A 22,221-nucleotide genomic window follows, 5' to 3' on the forward strand; every position below is an offset into this window, starting at 1 on the left:
TTTGAAACACTCTTTTTGTAGAATCTGCAATTCGATGTTTGGAGCGGTTTCAGGCCTCTGGTAGAAAAGGAAATATCTTCACATAAAAACAAGACAGAAGCATTCTCAGAAACAACTTTGTGATGTGTGTATTCTACTCCCATAGTTGAACATTTCTTTTGATAGAGCCGCCTGGAAACAATCTTCTTGTAGAATCTGCAAGTGGACATTTGGAGCGTTTCGAAGGCTGTGGTTGAAAAGGTAATATCTTCACCTAAAAACTAAATGGAAGCATTGTCCGAAACTTTTTGTGATGTGTGCGTTCAACTCACAGAGCTGAACCTTCCTTTTCATAGAGCAGTTTTGAATCACTCTTTTTGTAGAATCCGCATTTAGATATTTGGAGCGCTTTGAAGACTTCATCGGAATCGCGAATACCTTCACATAAAAACTAGACAGAACCATTCTCAGAAACTTCTTTGAGATGTGTGCATTCAACTCACAGAGCTGAACCTTTCTTTTGATAGTGCAGTTTTGAAACATTCTTTTTAAAAAATCTGCAGTTGGACATTTGGAGCTCTTTTAGGCTATCGGTTGAAAAGGAAATATCTTCACATTAAAACAAGACAGAAGCATTCTCAGAAACTCCTTTATGATGTCTGCATTCAACTCACAGAGTTGAACCTTCCTTTCCATAGAGCAGTTTTGAAACACTCTTTCTGTAGAATCTGGAGGCGGATATTAGGGTGCTTTGAAGCCTTCTTGGGAAACAGGATTATCTTCACATAAAAATTAGACAGAAGCATTCTCAGAAACTTCTTTGTGATGTGTGCATTCAACTCACAGCGTTGAAACTTCCTTTTGCCAGAGCAGTTTTGGAACCCTCTTTTTGAAGTATCTGAAAGTGCATAATTGCAGCACTTTGAGGCTTAAGGTCGAAAAGGAAATATCTTCATATAAAAACTAGACAGAAGCATTCTCAGAAACTACTTTGTGATGTGTGCATTCTACTCACATAGTTGAAATTTCCTTCTGATACTGCAGTTTTGAAACAGTCTTTTTGAGTGATCTTCAAGTGGGCATTTTGAGGACTTTGGGGACTATTGTGGATAAGGAAATATCTTCACATGAAAAGTAGACAGAAGTGTTCTCAGAAACTTCATTTTGATGGGTGCATTCCACTAACAAAGTACAACCTTACTTTTATAGAGCAGTTTTGAAACAGTCTTTTTGTAGACTCTGCAAGTGGATATTTGGAGCGCTTTGAAGCCTTCGTTGGAAACGGGAATATCTTCCCCTTGAAACTAGACAGAAGCATTCTCAGAAACTTCTTTGTGATGTGGGCATTGAACTCACGGAGCTGAACCTTCCTTTGGATTGAGCAGTTTTGAAAAACTCTTCCTTTATAATCTGCAGGTGGATATTTGGAGTGCTTTGAAGCCTTCTTTGGAAACGGGAGTATCGTCACATAAAAATAGACAGAAGTATTCCCAGAAACTTCTTTGTGATTTGTGCATTCAACTCACAGAGTTGAAGCTTCTTTTTGATAGAGCAGTTTTGAAACACCCTTTTTGCACAATCTGCAGGAGGATATTTGGAGCTCTTTGAGTGCTACATTGGAAACGGGAATATCGTCACCTAAAAACTAGAAAGAAGCATTCTCTGAAACCACTTTGCGATGTGTGCATTCATCTCACAGAGTTGAACCTTCCTGTTGATAGAGCAGTTTTGAAACCCTCTTTTTGTACAATCTGCAAGTGGATATTTGGAGCAAATTGAAGCCTTCTTTGGAAATTGGAATATCTTAAAACTAAAAATTAGGCAGAAGCATTCTCAGAAACTGCTTTGTGATGCGTGCATTCAACTCACAGAATTGAACCTTCCTTTTGATACAGCAGTTTTGAAACACTCTTTTTTCAGAATCTGCAAGTGGATATTTGGAGCACATTTATGCCTCTGGTAGAAAAGGAAATATCTTCACATAAAAACTAGACAGAAGCATTCTCAGAAACGAATTTGTGTTGTGTGCATTCTACTCCCATAGTTGAAAATTTCTTTTGATAGAGCAGTCTGGAAACACTCTGTTTCTAAAATCTGCAAATGGACATTTGGAGCGCTTTGAAGGTTATGATGGAAAAGGGAATATCTTCGCATTAAAACTAGACAGAAGCATTCTCAGAAACTTCTTTGTGATGTGTGCATTCAACTCCCAGGTTGAAACTTTCTTTTGTTAGAGCAGTTTTGAAACACTCCTTTTGTAGAATCTGCAGGCGGATATTTAAGTACTCTTTGAAGCATTCTTTGGAAACGAGAATATCTTCACCTAAAACCTAGACAGAAGCATTCTCAGAAACATCTTTGTGATGTGTCCATTCATCTCACAGAGTTGATAGAACAGTTTTGATAGAGCAGTTTTGATACACTCTTTTTAAAGGATCTGCCTGTTCATATGTGCAGTGCTTTGAGGCTTATGGTAGAAAAGGAAATATCTTCATATAAAAACTAGACAGAAGCATTCTCAGAAACGACTTTGTGATGTGTGCATTCTACACACAAAGTTGAAACTTTCTTTTGATAGAGTAGTTTTGAAATCGTCTTTCCGAAGAATCTTCAAGTGGGCATTTCGAGGGCTTTGAGGACCATTGCGGATAAGGAAATATCTTCCCATAAGAAGTAGACAGAAGTATAATCAGAAACTTCATTTTGATGTGTACATTCAACTCACAAAGCAGACCCTAACTTTTGATAGAGAAGTTTTGAAACACTCTTTTTGTAGAATCTGCAATTGGATGTTTGGAGCGCTTTCAGGCCTCTGGTAGAAAAGGAAATATCTTCACATAAAAACTAGACAGAAGCATTCCCAGAAACGACTTTGTGATGTGTGTATTCTACTCCCATAGTTGAACATTTCTTTTGATAGAGCCGCCTGGAAACAATCTTCTTGTAGAATCTGCAAGTGGACATTTGGAGCGTTTTGAAGGCTGTGGTTGAAAAGGTAATATCTTCACCTAAAAACTAAATGGAAGCATTCTCCGAAACTTTTTGTGATGTGTGCGTTCAACTCACAGAGCTGAACCTTCCTTTTCATAGACCAGTTTTCAATCACTCTTTTTGTAGAATCCGCATTTAGATATTTGGAGCGCTTTGAAGACTTCATTGGAATCGCGAATACCTTCACATAAAAACTAGACAGAACCATTCTCAGAAACTTCTTTGAGATGTGTGCATTCAACTCACAGAGCTGAACCTTTCTTTTGATAGTGCAGTTTTGAAACATTCTTTTTAAAAAATCTGCAGTTGGACATTTGGAGCTCTTTTAGGCTATCGGTTGAAAAGGAAATATCTTCACATTAAAACAAGACAGAAGCATTCTCAGAAACTCCTTTATGATGTCTGCATTCAACTCACAGAGTTGAACCTTCCTTTCCATAGAGCAGTTTTGAAACACTCTTTCTGTAGAATCTGGAGGTGGATATTAGGGTGCTTTGAAGCCTTCTTGGGAAACAGGATTATCTTCACATAAAAATTAGACAGAAGCATTCTCAGAAACTTCTTTGTGATGTGTGCATTCAACTCACAGCGTTGAAACTTCCTTTTGCCAGAGCAGTTTTGAAACCCTCTTTTTGAAGAATCTGAAAGTGCATAATTGCAGCACTTTGAGGCTTAAGGTCGAAAAGGAAATATCTTCATATAAAAACTAGACAGAAGCATTCTCAGAAACTACTTTGTGATGTGTGCATTCTACTCACATAGTTGAAATTTCCTTCTGATACTGCAGTTTTGAAACAGTCTTTTTGAGGGATCTTCAAGTGGGCATTTTGAGGGCTTTCGGGACTATTGTGGATAAGGAAATATCTTCACATGAAAAGTAGACAGAAGTGTTCTCAGAAACTTCATTTTGATGGGTGCATTCCACTAACAAAGTACAACCTTACTTTTATAGAGCAGTTTTGAAACAGTCTTTTTGTAGACTCTGCAAGTGGATATTTGGAGCGCTTTGAAGCCTTCGTTGGAAACGGGAATATCTTCCCCTTGAAACCAGACAGAAGCATTCTCAGAAACTTCTTTGTGATGTGGGCATTGAACTCACGGAGCTGAACCTTCCTTTGGATTGAGCAGTTTTGAAAAACTCTTCCTTTATAATCTGCAGGTGGATATTTGGAGTGCTTTGAAGCCTTCTTTGGAAACGGGAGTATCGTCACATAAAAATAGACAGAAGTATTCCCAGAAACTTCTTTGTGATTTGTGCATTCAACTCACAGAGTTGAAGCTTCTTTTTGATAGAGCAGTTTTGAAACACCCTTTTTGCACAATCTGCAGGAGGATATTTGGAGCTCTTTGAGTGCTACATTGGAAACGGGAATATCGTCACCTGAAAACTAGAAAGAAGCATTCTCTGAAACCACTTTGTGATGTGTGCATTCATCTCACAGAGTTGAACCTTCCTTTTGATAGAGCAGTTTTGAAACCCTCTTTTTGTACAATCTGCAAGTGGATATTTGGAGCAAATTGAAGCCTTCTTTGGAAATGGGAATATCTTAAATCTAAAAATTAGGCAGAAGCATTCTCAGAAACTACTTTGTGATGTGTGCATTCAACTCACAGAATTGAACCTTCCTTTTGATACAGCAGTTTTGAAACACTCTTTGTTTAGAATCTGCAAGTGGATATTTGGAGCACATTTATGCCTGTGGTAGAAAAGGAAATATCTTCACATAAAAACTAGACAGAAGCATTCTCAGAAACGAATTTGTGTTGTGTGCATTCTACTCCCATAGTTGAAAATTTCTTTTGATAGAGCAGTCTGCAACCACTCTGTTTCTAAAATCTGCAAATGGACATTTGGAGCGCTTTGAAGGTTATGATGGAAAAGGGAATATCTTCGCATTAAAACTAGACAGAAGCATTCTCAGAAACTTCTTTGTGATGTGTGCATTCAACTCCCAGGTTGAACCTTTCTTTTCATAGAGCAGTTTTGAAACACTCCTTTTGTAGAATCTGCAGGCGGATATTTAAGTACTCTTTGAAGCATTCTTTGGAAACGAGAATATCTTCACCTAAAACCTAGACAGAAGCATTCTCAGAAACATCTTTGTGATGTGTCCATTCATCTCAGAGAGTTGGTAGAACAGTTTTGATAGAGCAGTTTTGAAACACTCTTTTTAAAGAATCTGCCAGTTCATATGTGCAGTGCTTTGAGGCTTATGGTAGAAAAGGAAATATCTTCCTATAAAAACTAGACAGAAGCATTCTCAGAAACGACTTTGTGATGTGTGCATTCTACACACAAAGTTGAAACTTTCTTTTGATAGAGCAGTTTTGAAACCGTCTTTCCGAAGAATCTTCAAGTGGGCATTTCGAGAGCTTTGAGGACCATTGCGGATAAGGAAATATCTTCCCATAAGAAGTAGACAGAAGTATAATCAGAAACTTCATTTCGATGTGTACATTCAACTCACAAAGCAGACCCTTACTTTTGATAGAGAAGTTTTGAAACACTCTTTTTGTAGAATCTGCAATTGGATGTTTGGAGCGCTTTCAGGCCTCTGGTAGAAAAGGAAATATCTTCACATAAAAACTAGACAGAAGCATTCTCAGAAACGACTTTGTGATGTGTGTATTCTACTCCCATAGTTGAACATTTCTTTTGATAGAGCCGCCTGGAAACAATCTTCTTGTAGAATCTGCAAGTGGACATTTGGAGCGTTTTGAAGGCTGTGGTTGAAAAGGTAATATCTTCACCTAAAAACTAAATGGAAGCATTCTCCGAAACTTTTTGTGATGTGTGCGTTCAACTCACAGAGCTGAACCTTCCTTTTCATAGACCAGTTTTGAATCACTGTTTTTGTAGAATCCGCATTTAGATATTTGGAGCGCTTTGAAGACTTCATTGGAATCGCGAATACCTTCACATAAAAACTAGACAGAACCATTCTCAGAAACTTCTTTGAGATGTGTGCATTCAACTCACAGAGCTGAACCTTTCTTTTGATAGTGCAGTTTTGAAACATTCTTTTTAAAAAATCTGCAGTTGGACATTTGGAGCTCTTTTAGGCTATCGGTTGAAAAGGAAATATCTTCACATTAAAACAAGACAGAAGCATTCTCAGAAACTCCTTTATGATGTCTGCATTCAACTCACAGAGTTGAACCTTCCTTTCCATAGAGCAGTTTTGAAACACTCTTTCTGTAGAATCTGGAGGTGGATATTAGGGTGCTTTGAAGCCTTCTTGGGAAACAGGATTATCTTCACATAAAAATTAGACAGAAGCATTCTCAGAAACTTCTTTGTGATGTGTGCATTCAACTCACAGCGTTGAAACTTCCTTTTGCCAGAGCAGTTTTGAAACCCTCTTTTTGAAGAATCTGAAAGTGCATAATTGCAGCACTTTGAGGCTTAAGGTCGAAAAGGAAATATCTTCATATAAAAACTAGACAGAAGCATTCTCAGAAACTACTTTGTGATGTGTGCATTCTACTCACATAGTTGAAATTTCCTTCTGATACTGCAGTTTTGAAACAGTCTTTTTGAGGGATCTTCAAGTGGGCATTTTGAGGGCTTTCGGGACTATTGTGGATAAGGAAATATCTTCACATGAAAAGTAGACAGAAGTGTTCTCAGAAACTTCATTTTGATGGGTGCATTCCACTAACAAAGTACAACCTTACTTTTATAGAGCAGTTTTGAAACAGTCTTTTTGTAGACTCTGCAAGTGGATATTTGGAGCGCTTTGAAGCCTTCGTTGGAAACGGGAATATCTTCCCCTTGAAACCAGACAGAAGCATTCTCAGAAACTTCTTTGTGATGTGGGCATTGAACTCACGGAGCTGAACCATCCTTTGGATTGAGCAGTTTTGAAAAACTCTTCCTTTATAATCTGCAGGTGGATATTTGGAGTGCTTTGAAGCCTTCTTTGGAAACGGGAGTATCGTCACATAAAAATAGACAGAAGTATTCCCAGAAACTTCTTTGTGATTTGTGCATTCAACTCACAGAGTTGAAGCTTCTTTTTGATAGAGCAGTTTTGAAACACCCTTTTTGCACAATCTGCAGGAGGATATTTGGAGCTCTTTGAGTGCTACATTGGAAACGGGAATATCGTCACCTGAAAACTAGAAAGAAGCATTCTCTGAAACCACTTTGTGATGTGTGCATTCATCTCACAGAGTTGAACCTTCCTTTTGATAGAGCAGTTTTGAAACCCTCTTTTTGTACAATCTGCAAGTGGATATTTGGAGCAAATTGAAGCCTTCTTTGGAAATGGGAATATCTTAAATCTAAAAATTAGGCAGAAGCATTCTCAGAAACTACTTTGTGATGTGTGCATTCAACTCACAGAATTGAACCTTCCTTTTGATACAGCAGTTTTGAAACACTCTTTGTTTAGAATCTGCAAGTGGATATTTGGAGCACATTTATGCCTGTGGTAGAAAAGGAAATATCTTCACATAAAAACTAGACAGAAGCATTCTCAGAAACGAATTTGTGTTGTGTGCATTCTACTCCCATAGTTGAAAATTTCTTTTGATAGAGCAGTCTGCAACCACTCTGTTTCTAAAATCTGCAAATGGACATTTGGAGCGCTTTGAAGGTTATGATGGAAAAGGGAATATCTTCGCATTAAAACTAGACAGAAGCATTCTCAGAAACTTCTTTGTGATGTGTGCATTCAACTCCCAGGTTGAACCTTTCTTTTGTTAGAGCAGTTTTGAAACACTCCTTTTGTAGAATCTGCAGGCGGATATTTAAGTACTCTTTGAAGCATTCTTTGGAAACGAGAATATCTTCACCTAAAACCTAGACAGAAGCATTCTCAGAAACATCTTTGTGATGTGTCCATTCATCTCAGAGAGTTGGTAGAACAGTTTTGATAGAGCAGTTTTGAAACACTCTTTTTAAAGAATCTGCCAGTTCATATGTGCAGTGCTTTGAGGCTTATGGTAGAAAAGGAAATATCTTCCTATAAAAACTAGACAGAAGCATTCTCAGAAACGACTTTGTGATGTGTGCATTCTACACACAAAGTTGAAACTTTCTTTTGATAGAGCAGTTTCGAAACAGTCTTTCCGAAGAATCTTCAAGTGGGCATTTCGAGGGCTTTGAGGACCATTGCGGATAAGGAAATATCTTCCCATAAGAAGTAGACAGAAGTATAATCAGAAACTTCATTTTGATGTGTACATTCAACTCACAAAGCAGACCCTAACTTTTGATAGAGAAGTTTTGAAACACTCTTTTTGTAGAATCTGCAATTGGATGTTTGGAGCGCTTTCAGGCCTCTGGTAGAAAAGGAAATATCTTCACATAAAAACTAGACAGAAGCATTCCCAGAAACGACTTTGTGATGTGTGTATTCTACTCCCATAGTTGAACATTTCTTTTGATAGAGCCGCCTGGAAACAATCTTCTTGTAGAATCTGCAAGTGGACATTTGGAGCGTTTTGAAGGCTGTGGTTGAAAAGGTAATATCTTCACCTAAAAACTAAATGGAAGCATTCTCCGAAACTTTTTGTGATGTGTGCGTTCAACTCACAGAGCTGAACCTTCCTTTTCATAGACCAGTTTTCAATCACTCTTTTTGTAGAATCCGCATTTAGATATTTGGAGCGCTTTGAAGACTTCATTGGAATCGCGAATACCTTCACATAAAAACTAGACAGAACCATTCTCAGAAACTTCTTTGAGATGTGTGCATTCAACTCACAGAGCTGAACCTTTCTTTTGATAGTGCAGTTTTGAAACATTCTTTTTAAAAAATCTGCAGTTGGACATTTGGAGCTCTTTTAGGCTATCGGTTGAAAAGGAAATATCTTCACATTAAAACAAGACAGAAGCATTCTCAGAAACTCCTTTATGATGTCTGCATTCAACTCACAGAGTTGAACCTTCCTTTCCATAGAGCAGTTTTGAAACACTCTTTCTGTAGAATCTGGAGGCGGATATTAGGGTGCTTTGAAGCCTTCTTGGGAAACAGGATTATCTTCACATAAAAATTAGACAGAAGCATTCTCAGAAACTTCTTTGTGATGTGTGCATTCAACTCACAGCGTTGAAACTTCCTTTTGCCAGAGCAGTTTTGAAACCCTCTTTTTGAAGGATATGAAAGTGCATAATTGCAGCACTTTGAGGCTTAAGGTCGAAAAGGAAATATCTTCATATAAAAACTAGACAGAAGCATTCTCAGAAACTACTTTGTGATGTGTGCATTCTACTCACATAGTTGAAATTTCCTTCTGATACTGCAGTTTTGAAACAGTCTTTTTGAGGGATCTTCAAGTGGGCATTTTGAGGGCTTTCGGGACTATTGTGGATAAGGAAATATCTTCACATGAAAAGTAGACAGAAGGGTTCTCAGAAACTTCATTTTGATGGGTGCATTCCACTAACAAAGTACAACCTTACTTTTATAGAGCAGTTTTGAAACAGTCTTTTTGTAGACTCTGCAAGTGGATATTTGGAGCGCTTTGAAGCCTTCGTTGGAAACGGGAATATCTGCCACTTGAAACCAGACAGAAGCATTCTCAGAAACTTCTTTGTAATGTGGGCATTGAACTCACGGAGCTGAACCTTCCTTTGGATTGAGCAGTTTTGAAAAACTCTTCCTTTATAATCTGCAGGTGGATATTTGGAGTGCTTTGAAGCCTTCTTTGGAAACGGGAGTATCGTCACATAAAAATAGACAGAAGTATTCCCAGAAACTTCTTTGTGATTTGTGCATTCAACTCACAGAGTTGAAGCTTCTTTTTGATAGAGCAGTTTTGAAACACCCTTTTTGCACAATCTGCAGGAGGATATTTGGAGCTCTTTGAGTGCTACATTGGAAACGGGAATATCGTCACCTAAAAACTAGAAAGAAGCATTCTCTGAAACCACTTTGTGATGTGTGCATTCATCTCACAGAGTTGAACCTTCCTTTTGATAGAGCAGTTTTGATACCCTCTTTTTGTACAATCTGCAAGTGGATATTTGGAGCAAATTGAAGCCTTCTTTGGAAATGGGAATATCTTAAATCTAAAAATTAGGCAGAAGCATTCTCAGAAACTACTTTGTGATGTGTGCATTCAACTCACCGAATTGAACCTTCCTTTTGATACAGCAGTTTTGAAACACTCTTTGTTTAGAATCTGCAAGTGGATATTTGGAGCACATTTATGCCTGTGGTAGAAAAGGAAATATCTTCACATAAAAACTAGACAGAAGCATTCTCAGAAACGAATTTGTGTTGTGTGCATTCTACTCCCATAGTTGAAAATTTCTTTTGATAGAGCAGTCTGGAAACACTCTGTTTCTAAAATCTGCAAATGGACATTTGGAGCGCTTTGAAGGTTATGATGGAAAAGGGAATATCTTCGCATTAAAACTAGACAGAAGCATTCTCAGAAACTTCTTTGTGATGTGTGCATTCAACTCCCAGGTTGAACCTTTCTTTTGTTAGAGCAGTTTTGAAACACTCCTTTTGTAGAATCTGCAGGCGGATATTTAAGTACTCTTTGAAGCATTCTTTGGAAACGAGAATATCTTCACCTAAAACCTAGACAGAAGCATTCTCAGAAAGATCTTTGTGATGTGTCCATTCATCTCACAGAGTTGATAGAACAGTTTTGATAGAGCAGTTTTGAAACACTCTTTTTAAAGGATCTGCCAGTTCATATGTGCAGTGCTTTGAGGCTTATGGTAGAAAAGGAAATATCTTCATATAAAAACTAGACAGAAGCATTCTCAGAAACGACTTTGTGATGTGTGCATTCTACACACAAAGTTGAAACTTTCTTTTGATAGAGCAGTTTTGAAACAGTCTTTCCGAAGAATCTTCAAGTGGGCATTTCGAGGGCTTTGAGGACCATTGCGGATAAGGAAATATCTTCCCATAAGAAGTAGACAGAAGTATAATCAGAAACTTCATTTTGATGTGTACATTCAACTCACAAAGCAGACCCTTACTTTTGATAGAGAAGTTTTGAAACACTCTTTCTGTAGAATCTGCAATTGGATATTTGGAGCGCTTTCAGGCCTCTGGTAGAAAAGGAAATATCTTCACATAAAAACTAGACAGAAGCATTCTCAGAAACGACTTTGTGATGTGTGTATTCTACTCCCATAGTTGAACATTTCTTTTGATAGAGCCGCCTGGAAACAATCTTCTTGTAGAATCTGCAAGTGGACATTTGGAGCGTTTCGAAGGCTGTGGTTGAAAAGGTAATATCTTCACCTAAAAACTAAATGGAAGCATTGTCCGAAACTTTTTGTGATGTGTGCGTTCAACTCACAGAGCTGAACCTTCCTTTTCATAGACCAGTTTTGAATCACTCTTTTTGTAGAATCCGCATTTAGATATTTGGAGCGCTTTGAAGACTTCATTGGAATCGCGAATACCTTAACATAAAAACTAGACAGAACTATTCTCAGAAACTTCTTTGAGATGTGTGCATTCAACTCACAGAGCTGAACCTTTCTTTTGATAGTGCAGTTTTGAAACATTCTTTTTAAAAAATCTGCAGTTGGACATTTGGAGCTCTTTTAGGCTATCGGTTGAAAAGGAAATATCTTCACATTAAAACAAGACAGAAGCATTCTCAGAAACTCCTTTATGATGTCTGCATTCAACTCACAGAGTTGAACCTTCCTTTTGATAGAGCACTTTTGAAACACTCTTTCTGTAGAATCTGGAGGCGGATATTAGGGTGCTTTGAAGCCTTCTTGGGAAACAGGATTATCTTCACATAAAAATTAGACAGAAGCATTCTCAGAAACTTCTTTGTGATGTGTGCATTCAACTCACAGCGTTGAACCTTCCTTTTGCCAGAGCAGTTTTGAAACCCTCTTTTTGAAGAATCTGAAAGTGCATAATTGCAGCACTTTGAGGCTTAAGGTCGAAAAGGAAATATCTTCATATAAAAACTAGAGAGAAGCATTCTCAGAAACTACTTTGTGATGTGTGCATTCTACTCACATAGTTGAAATTTCCTTCTGATACTGCAGTTTTGAAACAGTCTTTTTGAGGGATCTTCAAGTGGGCATTTTGAGGGCTTTGGGGACTATTGTGGATAAGGAAATATCTTCACATGAAAAGTAGACAGAAGTGTTCTCAGAAACTTCATTTTGATGGGTGCATTCCACTAACAAAGGACAACCTTACTTTTATAGAGCAGTTTTGAAACAGTCTTTTTGTAGACTCTGCAAGTGGATATTTGGAGCGCTTTGAAGCCTTCGTTGGAAACGGGAATATCTTCCCCTTGAAACTAGACAGAAGCATTCTCAGAAACTTCTTTGTGATGTGGGCATTGAACTCACGGAGCTGAACCTTCCTTTGGATTGAGCAGTTTTGAAAAACTCTTCCTTTATAATCTGCAGGTGGATATTTGGAGTGCTTTGAAGCCTTCTTTGGAAACGGGAGTATCGTCACATAAAAATAGACAGAAGTATTCCCAGAAACTTCTTTGTGATTTGTGCATTCAACTCACAGAGTTGAAGCTTCTTTTTGATAGAGCAGTTTTGAAACACCCTTTTTGCACAATCTGCAGGAGGATATTTGGAGCTCTTTGAGTGCTACATTGGAAACGGGAATATCGTCACCTAAAAACTAGAAAGAAGCATTCTCTGAAACCACTTTGTGATGTGTGCATTCATCTCACAGAGTTGAACCTTCCTGTTGATAGAGCAGTTTTGAAACCCTCTTTTTGTACAATCTGCAAGTGGATATTTGGAGCAAATTGAAGCCTTCTTTGGAAATGGGAATATCTTAAAACTAAAAATTAGGCAGAAGCATTCTCAGAAACTGCTTTGTGATGTGTGCATTCAACTCACAGAATTGAACCTTCCTTTTGATACAGCAGTTTTGAAACACTCTTTTTTCAGAATCTGCAAGTGGATATTTGGAGCACATTTATGCCTGTGGTAGAAAAGGAAATATCTTCACATAAAAACTAGACAGAAGCATTCTCAGAAACGAATTTGTGTTGTGTGCATTCTACTCCCATAGTTGAAAATTTCTTTTGATAGAGCAGTCTGGAACCACTCTGTTTCTAAAATCTGCAAATGGACATTTGGAGCGCTTTGAAGGTTATGATGGAAAAGGGAATATCTTCGCATTAAAACTAGACAGAAGCACTCTCAGAAACTTCTTTGTGATGTGTGCATTCAACTCCCAGGTTGAACCTTTCTTTTGTTAGAGCAGTTTCGAAACACTCCTTTTGTAGAATCTGCAGGCGGATATTTAAGTACTCTTTGAAGCATTCTTTGGAAACGAGAATATCTTCACCTAAAACCTAGACAGAAGCATTCTCAGAAACATCTTTGTGATGTGTCCATTCATCTCACAGAGTTGATAGAACAGTTTTGATAGAGCAGTTTTGAAACACTCTTTTTAAAGGATCTGCCAGTTCATATGTGCAGTGCTTTGAGGCTTATGGTAGAAAAGGAAATATCTTCATATAAAAACTAGACAGAAGCATTCTCAGAAACGACTTTGTGATGTGTGCATTCTACACACAAAGTTGAAACTTTCTTTTGATAGAGCAGTTTTGAAACAGTCTTTCCGAAGAATCTTCAAGTGGGCATTTCGAGGGCTTTGAGGACCATTGCGGATAAGGAAATATCTTCCCATAAGAAGTAGACAGAAGTATAATCAGAAACTTCATTTTGATGTGTACATTCAACTCACAAAGCAGACCCTTACTTTTGATAGAGAAGTTTTGAAACAGTCTTTTTGTAGAATCTGCAATTGGATATTTGGAGCGCTTTCAGGCCTCTGGTAGAAAAGGAAATATCTTCACATAAAAACTAGACAGAAGCATTCTCAGAAACGACTTTGTGATGTGTGTATTCTACTCCCATAGTTGAACATTTCTTTTGATAGAGCCGCCTGGAAACAATCTTCTTGTAGAATCTGCAAGTGGACATTTGGAGCGTTTCGAAGGCTGTGGTTGAAAAGGTAATATCTTCACCTAAAAACTAAATGGAAGCATTGTCCGAAACGTTTTGTGATGTGTGCGTTCAACTCACAGAGCTGAACCTTCCTTTTCATAGACCAGTTTTGAATCACTCTTTTTGTAGAATCCACATTTAGAGATTTGGAGCGCTTTGAAGACTTCATTGGAATCGCGAATACCTTCACATAAAAACTAGACAGAACCATTCTCAGAAACTTCTTTGAGATGTGTGCATTCAACTCACAGAGCTGAACCTTTCTTTTGATAGTGCAGTTTTGAAACATTCTTTTTAAAAAATCTGCAGTTGGACATTTGGAGCTCTTTTAGGCTATCGGTTGAAAAGGAAATATCTTCACATTAAAACAAGACAGAAGCATTCTCAGAAACTCCTTTATGATGTCTGCATTCAACTCACAGAGTTGAACCTTCCTTTCCATAGAGCAGTTTTGAAACACTCTTTCTGTAGAATCTGGAGGCGGATATTAGGGTGCTTTGAAGCCTTCTTGGGAAACAGGATTATCTTCACATAAAAATTAGACAGAAGCATTCTCAGAAACTTCTTTGTGATGTGTGCATTCAACTCACAGCGTTGAAACTTCCTTTTGCCAGAGCAGTTTTCAAACCCTCTTTTTGAAGAATCTGAAAGTGCATAATTGCAGCACTTTGAGGCTTAAGGTCGAAAAGGAAATATCTTCATATAAAAACTAGACAGAAGCATTCTCAGAAACTACTTTGTGATGTGTGCATTCTACTCACATAGTTGAAATTTCCTTCTGATACTGCAGTTTTGAAACAGTCTTTTTGAGGGATCTTCAAGTGGGCATTTTGAGGGCTTTGGGGACTATTGTGGATAAGGAAATATCTTCACATGAAAAGTAGACAGAAGTGTTCTCAGAAACTTCATTTTGATGGGTGCATTCCACTAACAAAGTACAACCTTACTTTTATAGAGCAGTTTTGAAACAGTCTTTTTGTAGACTCTGCAAGCGGATATTTGGAGCGCTTTGAAGCCTTCGTTGGAAACGGGAATATCTTCCCCTTGAAACCAGACAGAAGCATTCTCAGAAACTTCTTTGTGATGTGGGCATTGAACTCACGGAGCTGAACCTTCCTTTGGATTGAGCAGTTTTGAAAAACTCTTCCTTTATAATCTGCAGGTGGATATTTGGAGTGCTTTGAAGCCTTCTTTGGAAACGGGAGTATCGTCACATAAAAATAGACAGAAGTATTCCCAGAAACTTCTTTGTGATTTGTGCATTCAACTCACAGAGTTGAAGCTTCTTTTTGATAGAGCAGTTTTGAAACACCCTTTTTGCACAATCTGCAGGAGGATATTTGGAGCTCTTTGAGTGCTACATTGGAAACGGGAATATCGTCACCTGAAAACTAGAAAGAAGCATTCTCTGAAACCACTTTGTGATGTGTGCATTCATCTCACAGAGTTGAACTTTCTTTTTGATAGAGCAGTTTTGAAACCCTCTTTTTGTACAATCTGCAAGTGGATATTTGGAGCAAATTGAAGCCTTCTTTGGAAATGGGAATATCTTAAATCTAAAAATTAGGCAGAAGCATTCTCAGAAACTACTTTGTGATGTGTGCATTCAACTCACAGAATTGAACTTTCTTTTTGATACAGCAGTTTTGAAACACTCTTTGTTTAGAATCTGCAAGTGGATATTTGGAGCACATTTATGCCTGTGGTAGAAAAGGAAATATCTTCACATAAAAACTAGACAGAAGCATTCTCAGAAACGAATTTGTGTTGTGTGCATTCTACTCCCATAGTTGAAAATTTCTTTTGATAGAGCAGTCTGGAACCACTCTGTTTCTAAAATCTGCAAATGGACATTTGGAGCGCTTTGAAGGTTATGATGGAAAAGGGAATATCTTCGCATTAAAACTAGACAGAAGCATTCTCAGAAACTTCTTTGTGATGTGTGCATTCAACTCCCAGGTTGAACCTTTCTTTTGTTAGAGCAGTTTTGAAACACTCCTTTTGTAGAATCTGCAGGTGGATATTGAAGTACTCTTTGAAGCATTCTTTGGAAACGAGAATATCTTCACCTAAAACCTAGACATAAGCATTCTCAGAAACATCTTTGTGATGTGTCCATTCATCTCACAGAGTTGATAGAACAGTTTTGATAGAGCAGTTTTGAAACACTCTTTTTAAAGAATCTGCCAGTTCATATGTAGAGTGCTTTGAGGCTTATGGTAGAAAAGGAAATATCTTCATATAAAAACTAGACAGAAGCATTCTCAGAAACGACTTTGTGATGTGTGCATTCTACACACAAAGTTGAAACTTTCTTTTGATAGAGCAGTTTTGAAACCGTCTTTCCGAAGAATCTTCAAGTGGGCATTTCGAGGGCTTTGAGGACCATTGCGGATAAGGAAATATCTTCCCATAAGAAGTAGACAGAAGTATAATCAGAAACTTCATTTTGATGTGTACATTCAACTCACAAAGCAGACCCTTACTTTTGATAGAGAAGTTTTGAAACACTCTTTTTGTAGAATCTGCAATTGGATATTTGGAGCGCTTTCAGGCCTCTGGTAGAAAAGGAAATATCTTCACATAAAAACTAGACAGAAGCATTCTCAGAAACGACTTTGTGATGTGTGTATTCTACTCCCATAGTTGAACATTTCTTTTGATAGAGCCGCCTGGAAACAATCTTCTTGTAGAATCTGCAAGTGGACATTTGGAGCGTTTCGAAGGCTGTGGTTGAAAAGGTAATATCTTCACCTAAAAACTAAATGGAAGCATTCTCCGAAACGTTTTGTGATGTGTGCGTTCAACTCACAGAGCTGAACCTTCCTTTTCATAGACCAGTTTTGAATCACTCTTTTTGTAGAATCCGCATTTAGATATTTGGAGCACTTTGAAGACTTCATTGGAATCGCGAATACCTTCACATAAAAACTAGACAGAACCATTCTCAGAAACTTCTTTGAGATGTGTGCATTCAACTCACAGAGCTGAACCTTTCTTTTGATAGTGCAGTTTTGAAACATTCTTTTTAAAAAATCTGCAGTTGGACATTTGGAGCTCTTTTAGGCTATCGGTTGAAAAGGAAATATCTTCACATTAAAACAAGACAGAAGCATTCTCAGAAACTCCTTTATGATGTCTGCATTCAACTCACAGAGTTGAACCTTCCTTTTGATAGAGCAGTTTTGAAACACTCTTTCTGTAGAATCTGGAGGCGGATATTAGGGTGCTTTGAAGCCTTCTTGGGAAACAGGATTATCTTCACATAAAAATTAGACAGAAGCATTCTCAGAAACTTCTTTGTGATGTGTGCATTCAACTCACAGCGTTGAAACTTCCTTTTGCCAGAGCAGTTTTGAAACCCTCTTTTTGAAGAATCTGAAAGTGCATAATTGCAGCACTTTGAGGCTTAAGGTCGAAAAGGAAATATCTTCATATAAAAACTAGACAGAAGCATTCTCAGAAACTACTTTGTGATGTGTGCATTCTACTCACATAGTTGAAATTTCCTTCTGATACTGCAGTTTTGAAACAGTCTTTTTGAGGGATCTTCAAGTGGGCATTTTGAGGGCTTTGGGGACTATTGTGGATAAGGAAATATCTTCACATGAAAAGTAGACAGAAGTGTTCTCAGAAACTTCATTTTGATGGGTGCATTCCACTAACAAAGTACAACCTTACTTTTATAGAGCAGTTTTGAAACAGTCTTTTTGTAGACTCTGCAAGTGGATATTTGGAGCGCTTTGAAGCCTTCGTTGGAAACGGGAATATCTTCCCCTTGAAACTAGACAGAAGCATTCTCAGAAACTTCTTTGTGATGTGGGCATTGAACTCACGGAGCTGAAACTTCCTTTGGATTGAGCAGTTTTGAAAAACTCTTCCTTTATAATCTGCAGGTGGATATTTGGAGTGCTTTGAAGCCTTCTTTGGAAACGGGAGTATCGTCACATAAAAATAGACAGAAGTATTCCCAGAAACTTCTTTGTGATTTGTGCATTCAACTGACAGAGTTGAAGCTTCTTTTTGATAGAGCAGTTTTGAAACACCCTTTTTGCACAATCTGCAGGAGGATATTTGGAGCTCTTTGAGTGCTACATTGGAAACGGGAATATCGTCACCTAAAAACTAGAAAGAAGCATTCTCTGAAACCACTTTGTGATGTGTGCATTCATCTCACAGAGTTGAACCTTCCTTTTGATAGAGCAGTTTTGAAACCCTCTTTTTGTACAATCTGCAAGTGGATATTTGGAGCAAATTGAAGCCTTCTTTGGAAATTGGAATATCTTAAATCTAAAAATTAGGCAGAAGCATTCTCAGAAACTACTTTGTGATGTGTGCATTCAACTCACAGAATTGAACCTTCCTTTTGATACAGCAGTTTTGAAACACTCTTTTTTCAGAATCTGCAAGTGGATATTTGGAGCACATTTATGCCTGTGGTAGAAAAGGAAATATCTTCACATAAAAACTAGACAGAAGCATTCTCAGAAACGAATTTGTGTTGTGTGCATTCTACTCCCATAGTTGAAAATTTCTTTTGATAGAGCAGTCTGGAAACACTCTGTTTCTAAAATCTGCAAATGGACATTTGGAGCGCTTTGAAGGTTATGATGGAAAAGGGAATATCTTCGCATTAAAACTAGACAGAAGCATTCTCAGAAACTTCTTTGTGATGTGTGCATTCAACTCCCAGGTTGAACCTTTCTTTTGTTAGAGCAGTTTTGAAACACTCCTTTTGTAGAATCTGCAGGCGGATATTTAAGTACTCTTTGAAGCATTCTTTGGAAACGAGAATATCTTCACCTAAAACCTAGACAGAAGCATTCTCAGAAACATCTTTGTGATGTGTCCATTCATCTCACAGAGTTGATAGAACAGTTTTGATAGAGCAGTTTTGAAACACTCTTTTTAAAGAATCTGCCAGTTCATATGTGCAGTGCTTTGAGGCTTATGGTAGAAAAGGAAATATCTTCCTATAAAAACTAGACAGAAGCATTCTCAGAAACGACTTTGTGATGTGTGCATTCTACACACAAAGTTGAAACTTTCTTTTGATAGAGCAGTTTTGAAACCGTCTTTCCGAAGAATATTCAAGTGGGCATTTCGAGGGCTTTGAGGACCATTGCGGATAAGGAAATATCTTCCCATAAGAAGTAGACAGAAGTATAATCAGAAACTTCATTTTGATGTGTACATTCAACTCACAAAGCAGACCCTTACTTTTGATAGAGAAGTTTTGAAACACTCTTTTTGTAGAATCTGCAATTGGATATTTGGAGCGCTTTCAGGCCTCTGGTAGAAAAGGAAATATCTTCACATGAAAACTAGACAGAAGCATTCTCAGAAACCAATTTGTGTTGTGTGCATTCTACTCCCATAGTTGAACATTTCTTTTGATAGAGCCGCCTGGAAACACTCTGTTTCTAAAATCTGCAAATGGACATTTGGAGCGCTTTGAAGGTTATGATGGAAAAGGGAATATCTTCGCATTAAAACTAGACAGAAGCATTCTCAGAAACTTCTTTGTGATGTGTGCATTCAACTCCCAGGTTGAACCTTTCTTTTGTTAGAGCAGTTTTGAAACACTCCTTTTGTAGAATCTGCAGGCGGATATTTAAGTACTCTTTGAAGCATTCTTTGGAAACGAGAATATCTTCACCTAAAACCTAGACAGAAGCATTCTCAGAAACATCTTTGTGATGTGTCCATTCATCTCACAGAGTTGATAGAACAGTTTTGATAGAGCAGTTTTGAAACACTCTTTTTAAAGGATCTGCCAGTTCATATGTGCAGTGCTTTGAGGCTTATGGTAGAAAAGGAAATATCTTCATATAAAAACTAGACAGAAGCATTCTCAGAAACGACTTTGTGATGTGTGCATTCTACACACAAAGTTGAAACTTTCTTTTGATAGAGCAGTTTTGAAACAGTCTTTCCGAAGAATCTTCAAGTGGGCATTTCGAGGGCTTTGAGGACCATTGCGGATAAGGAAATATCTTCCCATAAGAAGTAGACAGAAGTATAATCAGAAACTTCATTTTGATGTGTACATTCAACTCACAAAGCAGACCCTTACTTTTGATAGAGAAGTTTTGAAACACTCTTTTTGTAGAATCTGCAATTGGATATTTGGAGCGCTTTCAGGCCTCTGGTAGAAAAGGAAATATCTTCACATAAAAACTAGACAGAAGCATTCTCAGAAACGACTTTGTGATGTGTGTATTCTACTCCCATAGTTGAACATTTCTTTTGATAGAGCCGCCTGGAAACAATCTTCTTGTAGAATCTGCAAGTGGACATTTGGAGCGTTTCGAAGGCTGTGGTTGAAAAGGTAATATCTTCACCTAAAAACTAAATGGAAGCATTGTCGGAAACTTTTTGTGATGTGTGCGTTCAACTCACAGAGCTGAACCTTCCTTTTCATAGACCAGTTTTGAATCACTCTTTTTGTAGGATCCGCATTTAGATATTTGGAGCGCTTTGAAGACTTCATTGGAATCGCGAATACCTTCACATAAAAACTAGACAGAACCATTCTCAGAAACTTCTTTGAGATGTGTGCATTCAACTCACAGAGTTGAACCTTTCTTTTGATAGTGCAGTTTTGAAACATTCTTTTTAAAAAATCTGCAGTTGGACATTTGGAGCTCTTTTAGGCTATCGGTTGAAAAGGAAATATCTTCACATTAAAACAAGACAGAAGCATTCTCAGAAACTCCTTTATGATGTCTGCATTCAACTCACAGAGTTGAACCTTCCTTTTCATAGAGCAGTTTTGAAACACTCTTTCTGTAGAATCTGGAGGCGGATATTAGGGTGCTTTGAAGCCTTCTTGGGAAACAGGATTATCTTCACATAAAAATTAGACAGAAGCATTCTCAGAAACTTCTTTGTGATGTGTGCATTCAACTCACAGCGTTGAAACTTCCTTTTGCCAGAGCAGTTTTGAAACCCTCTTTTTGAAGAATCTGAAAGTGCATAATTGCAGCACTTTGAGGCTTAAGGTCGAAAAGGAAATATCTTCATATAAAAACTAGACAGAAGCATTCTCAGAAACTACTTTGTGATGTGTGCATTCTACTCACATAGTTGAAATTTCCTTCTGATACTGCAGTTTTGAAACAGTCTTTTTGAGGGATCTTCAAGTGGGCATTTTGAGGGCTTTGGGGACTATTGTGGATAAGGAAATATCTTCACATGAAAAGTAGACAGAAGTGTTCTCAGAAACTTCATTTTGATGGGTGCATTCCACTAACAAAGTACAACCTTACTTTTATAGAGCAGTTTTGAAACAGTCTTTTTGTAGACTCTGCAAGTGGATATTTGGAGCGCTTTGAAGCCTTCGTTGGAAACGGGAATATCTTCCCCTTGAAACTAGACAGAAGCATTCTCAGAAACTTCTTTGTGATGTGGGCATTGAACTCACGGAGCTGAACCTTCCTTTGGATTGAGCATTTTTGAAAAACTCTTCCTTTATAATCTGCAGGTGGATATTTGGAGTGCTTTGAAGCCTTCTTTGGAAACGGGACTATCGTCACATAAAAATAGACAGAAGTATTCCCAGAAACTTCTTTGTGATTTGTGCATTCAACTCACAGAGTTGAAGCTTCTTTTTGATAGAGCAGTTTTGAAACACCCTTTTTGCACAATCTGCAGGAGGATATTTGGAGCTCTTTGAGTGCTACATTGGAAACGGGAATATCGTCACCTAAAAACTAGAAAGAAGCATTCTCTGAAACCACTTTGTGATGTGTGCATTCATCTCACAGAGTTGAACCTTCCTTTTGATAGAGCAGTTTTGAAACCCTCTTTTTGTACAATCTGCAAGTGGATATTTGGAGCAAATTGAAGCCTTCTTTGGAAATTGGAATATCTTAAATCTAAAAATTAGGCAGAAGCATTCTCAGAAACTACTTTGTGATGTGTGCATTCAACTCACAGAATTGAACCTTCCTTTTGATACAGCAGTTTTGAAACACTCTTTTTTCAGAATCTGCAAGTGGATATTTGGAGCACATTTATGCCTGTGGTAGAAAAGGAAATATCTTCACATAAAAACTAGACAGAAGCATTCTCAGAAACGAATTTGTGTTGTGTGCATTCTACTCCCATAGTTGAAAATTTCTTTTGATAGAGCAGTCTGGAAACACTCTGTTTCTAAAATCTGCAAATGGACATTTGGAGCGCTTTGAAGGTTATGATGGAAAAGGGAATATCTTCGCATTAAAACTAGACAGAAGCATTCTCAGAAACTTCTTTGTGATGTGTGCATTCAACTCCCAGGTTGAACTTTTCTTTTGTTAGAGCAGTTTTGAAAC

This window comes from Homo sapiens, chromosome 7 (genome assembly GCF_000001405.40).
Source record: "Homo sapiens chromosome 7, GRCh38.p14 Primary Assembly".
Classification (NCBI taxonomy): domain Eukaryota; kingdom Metazoa; phylum Chordata; class Mammalia; order Primates; family Hominidae; genus Homo; species Homo sapiens.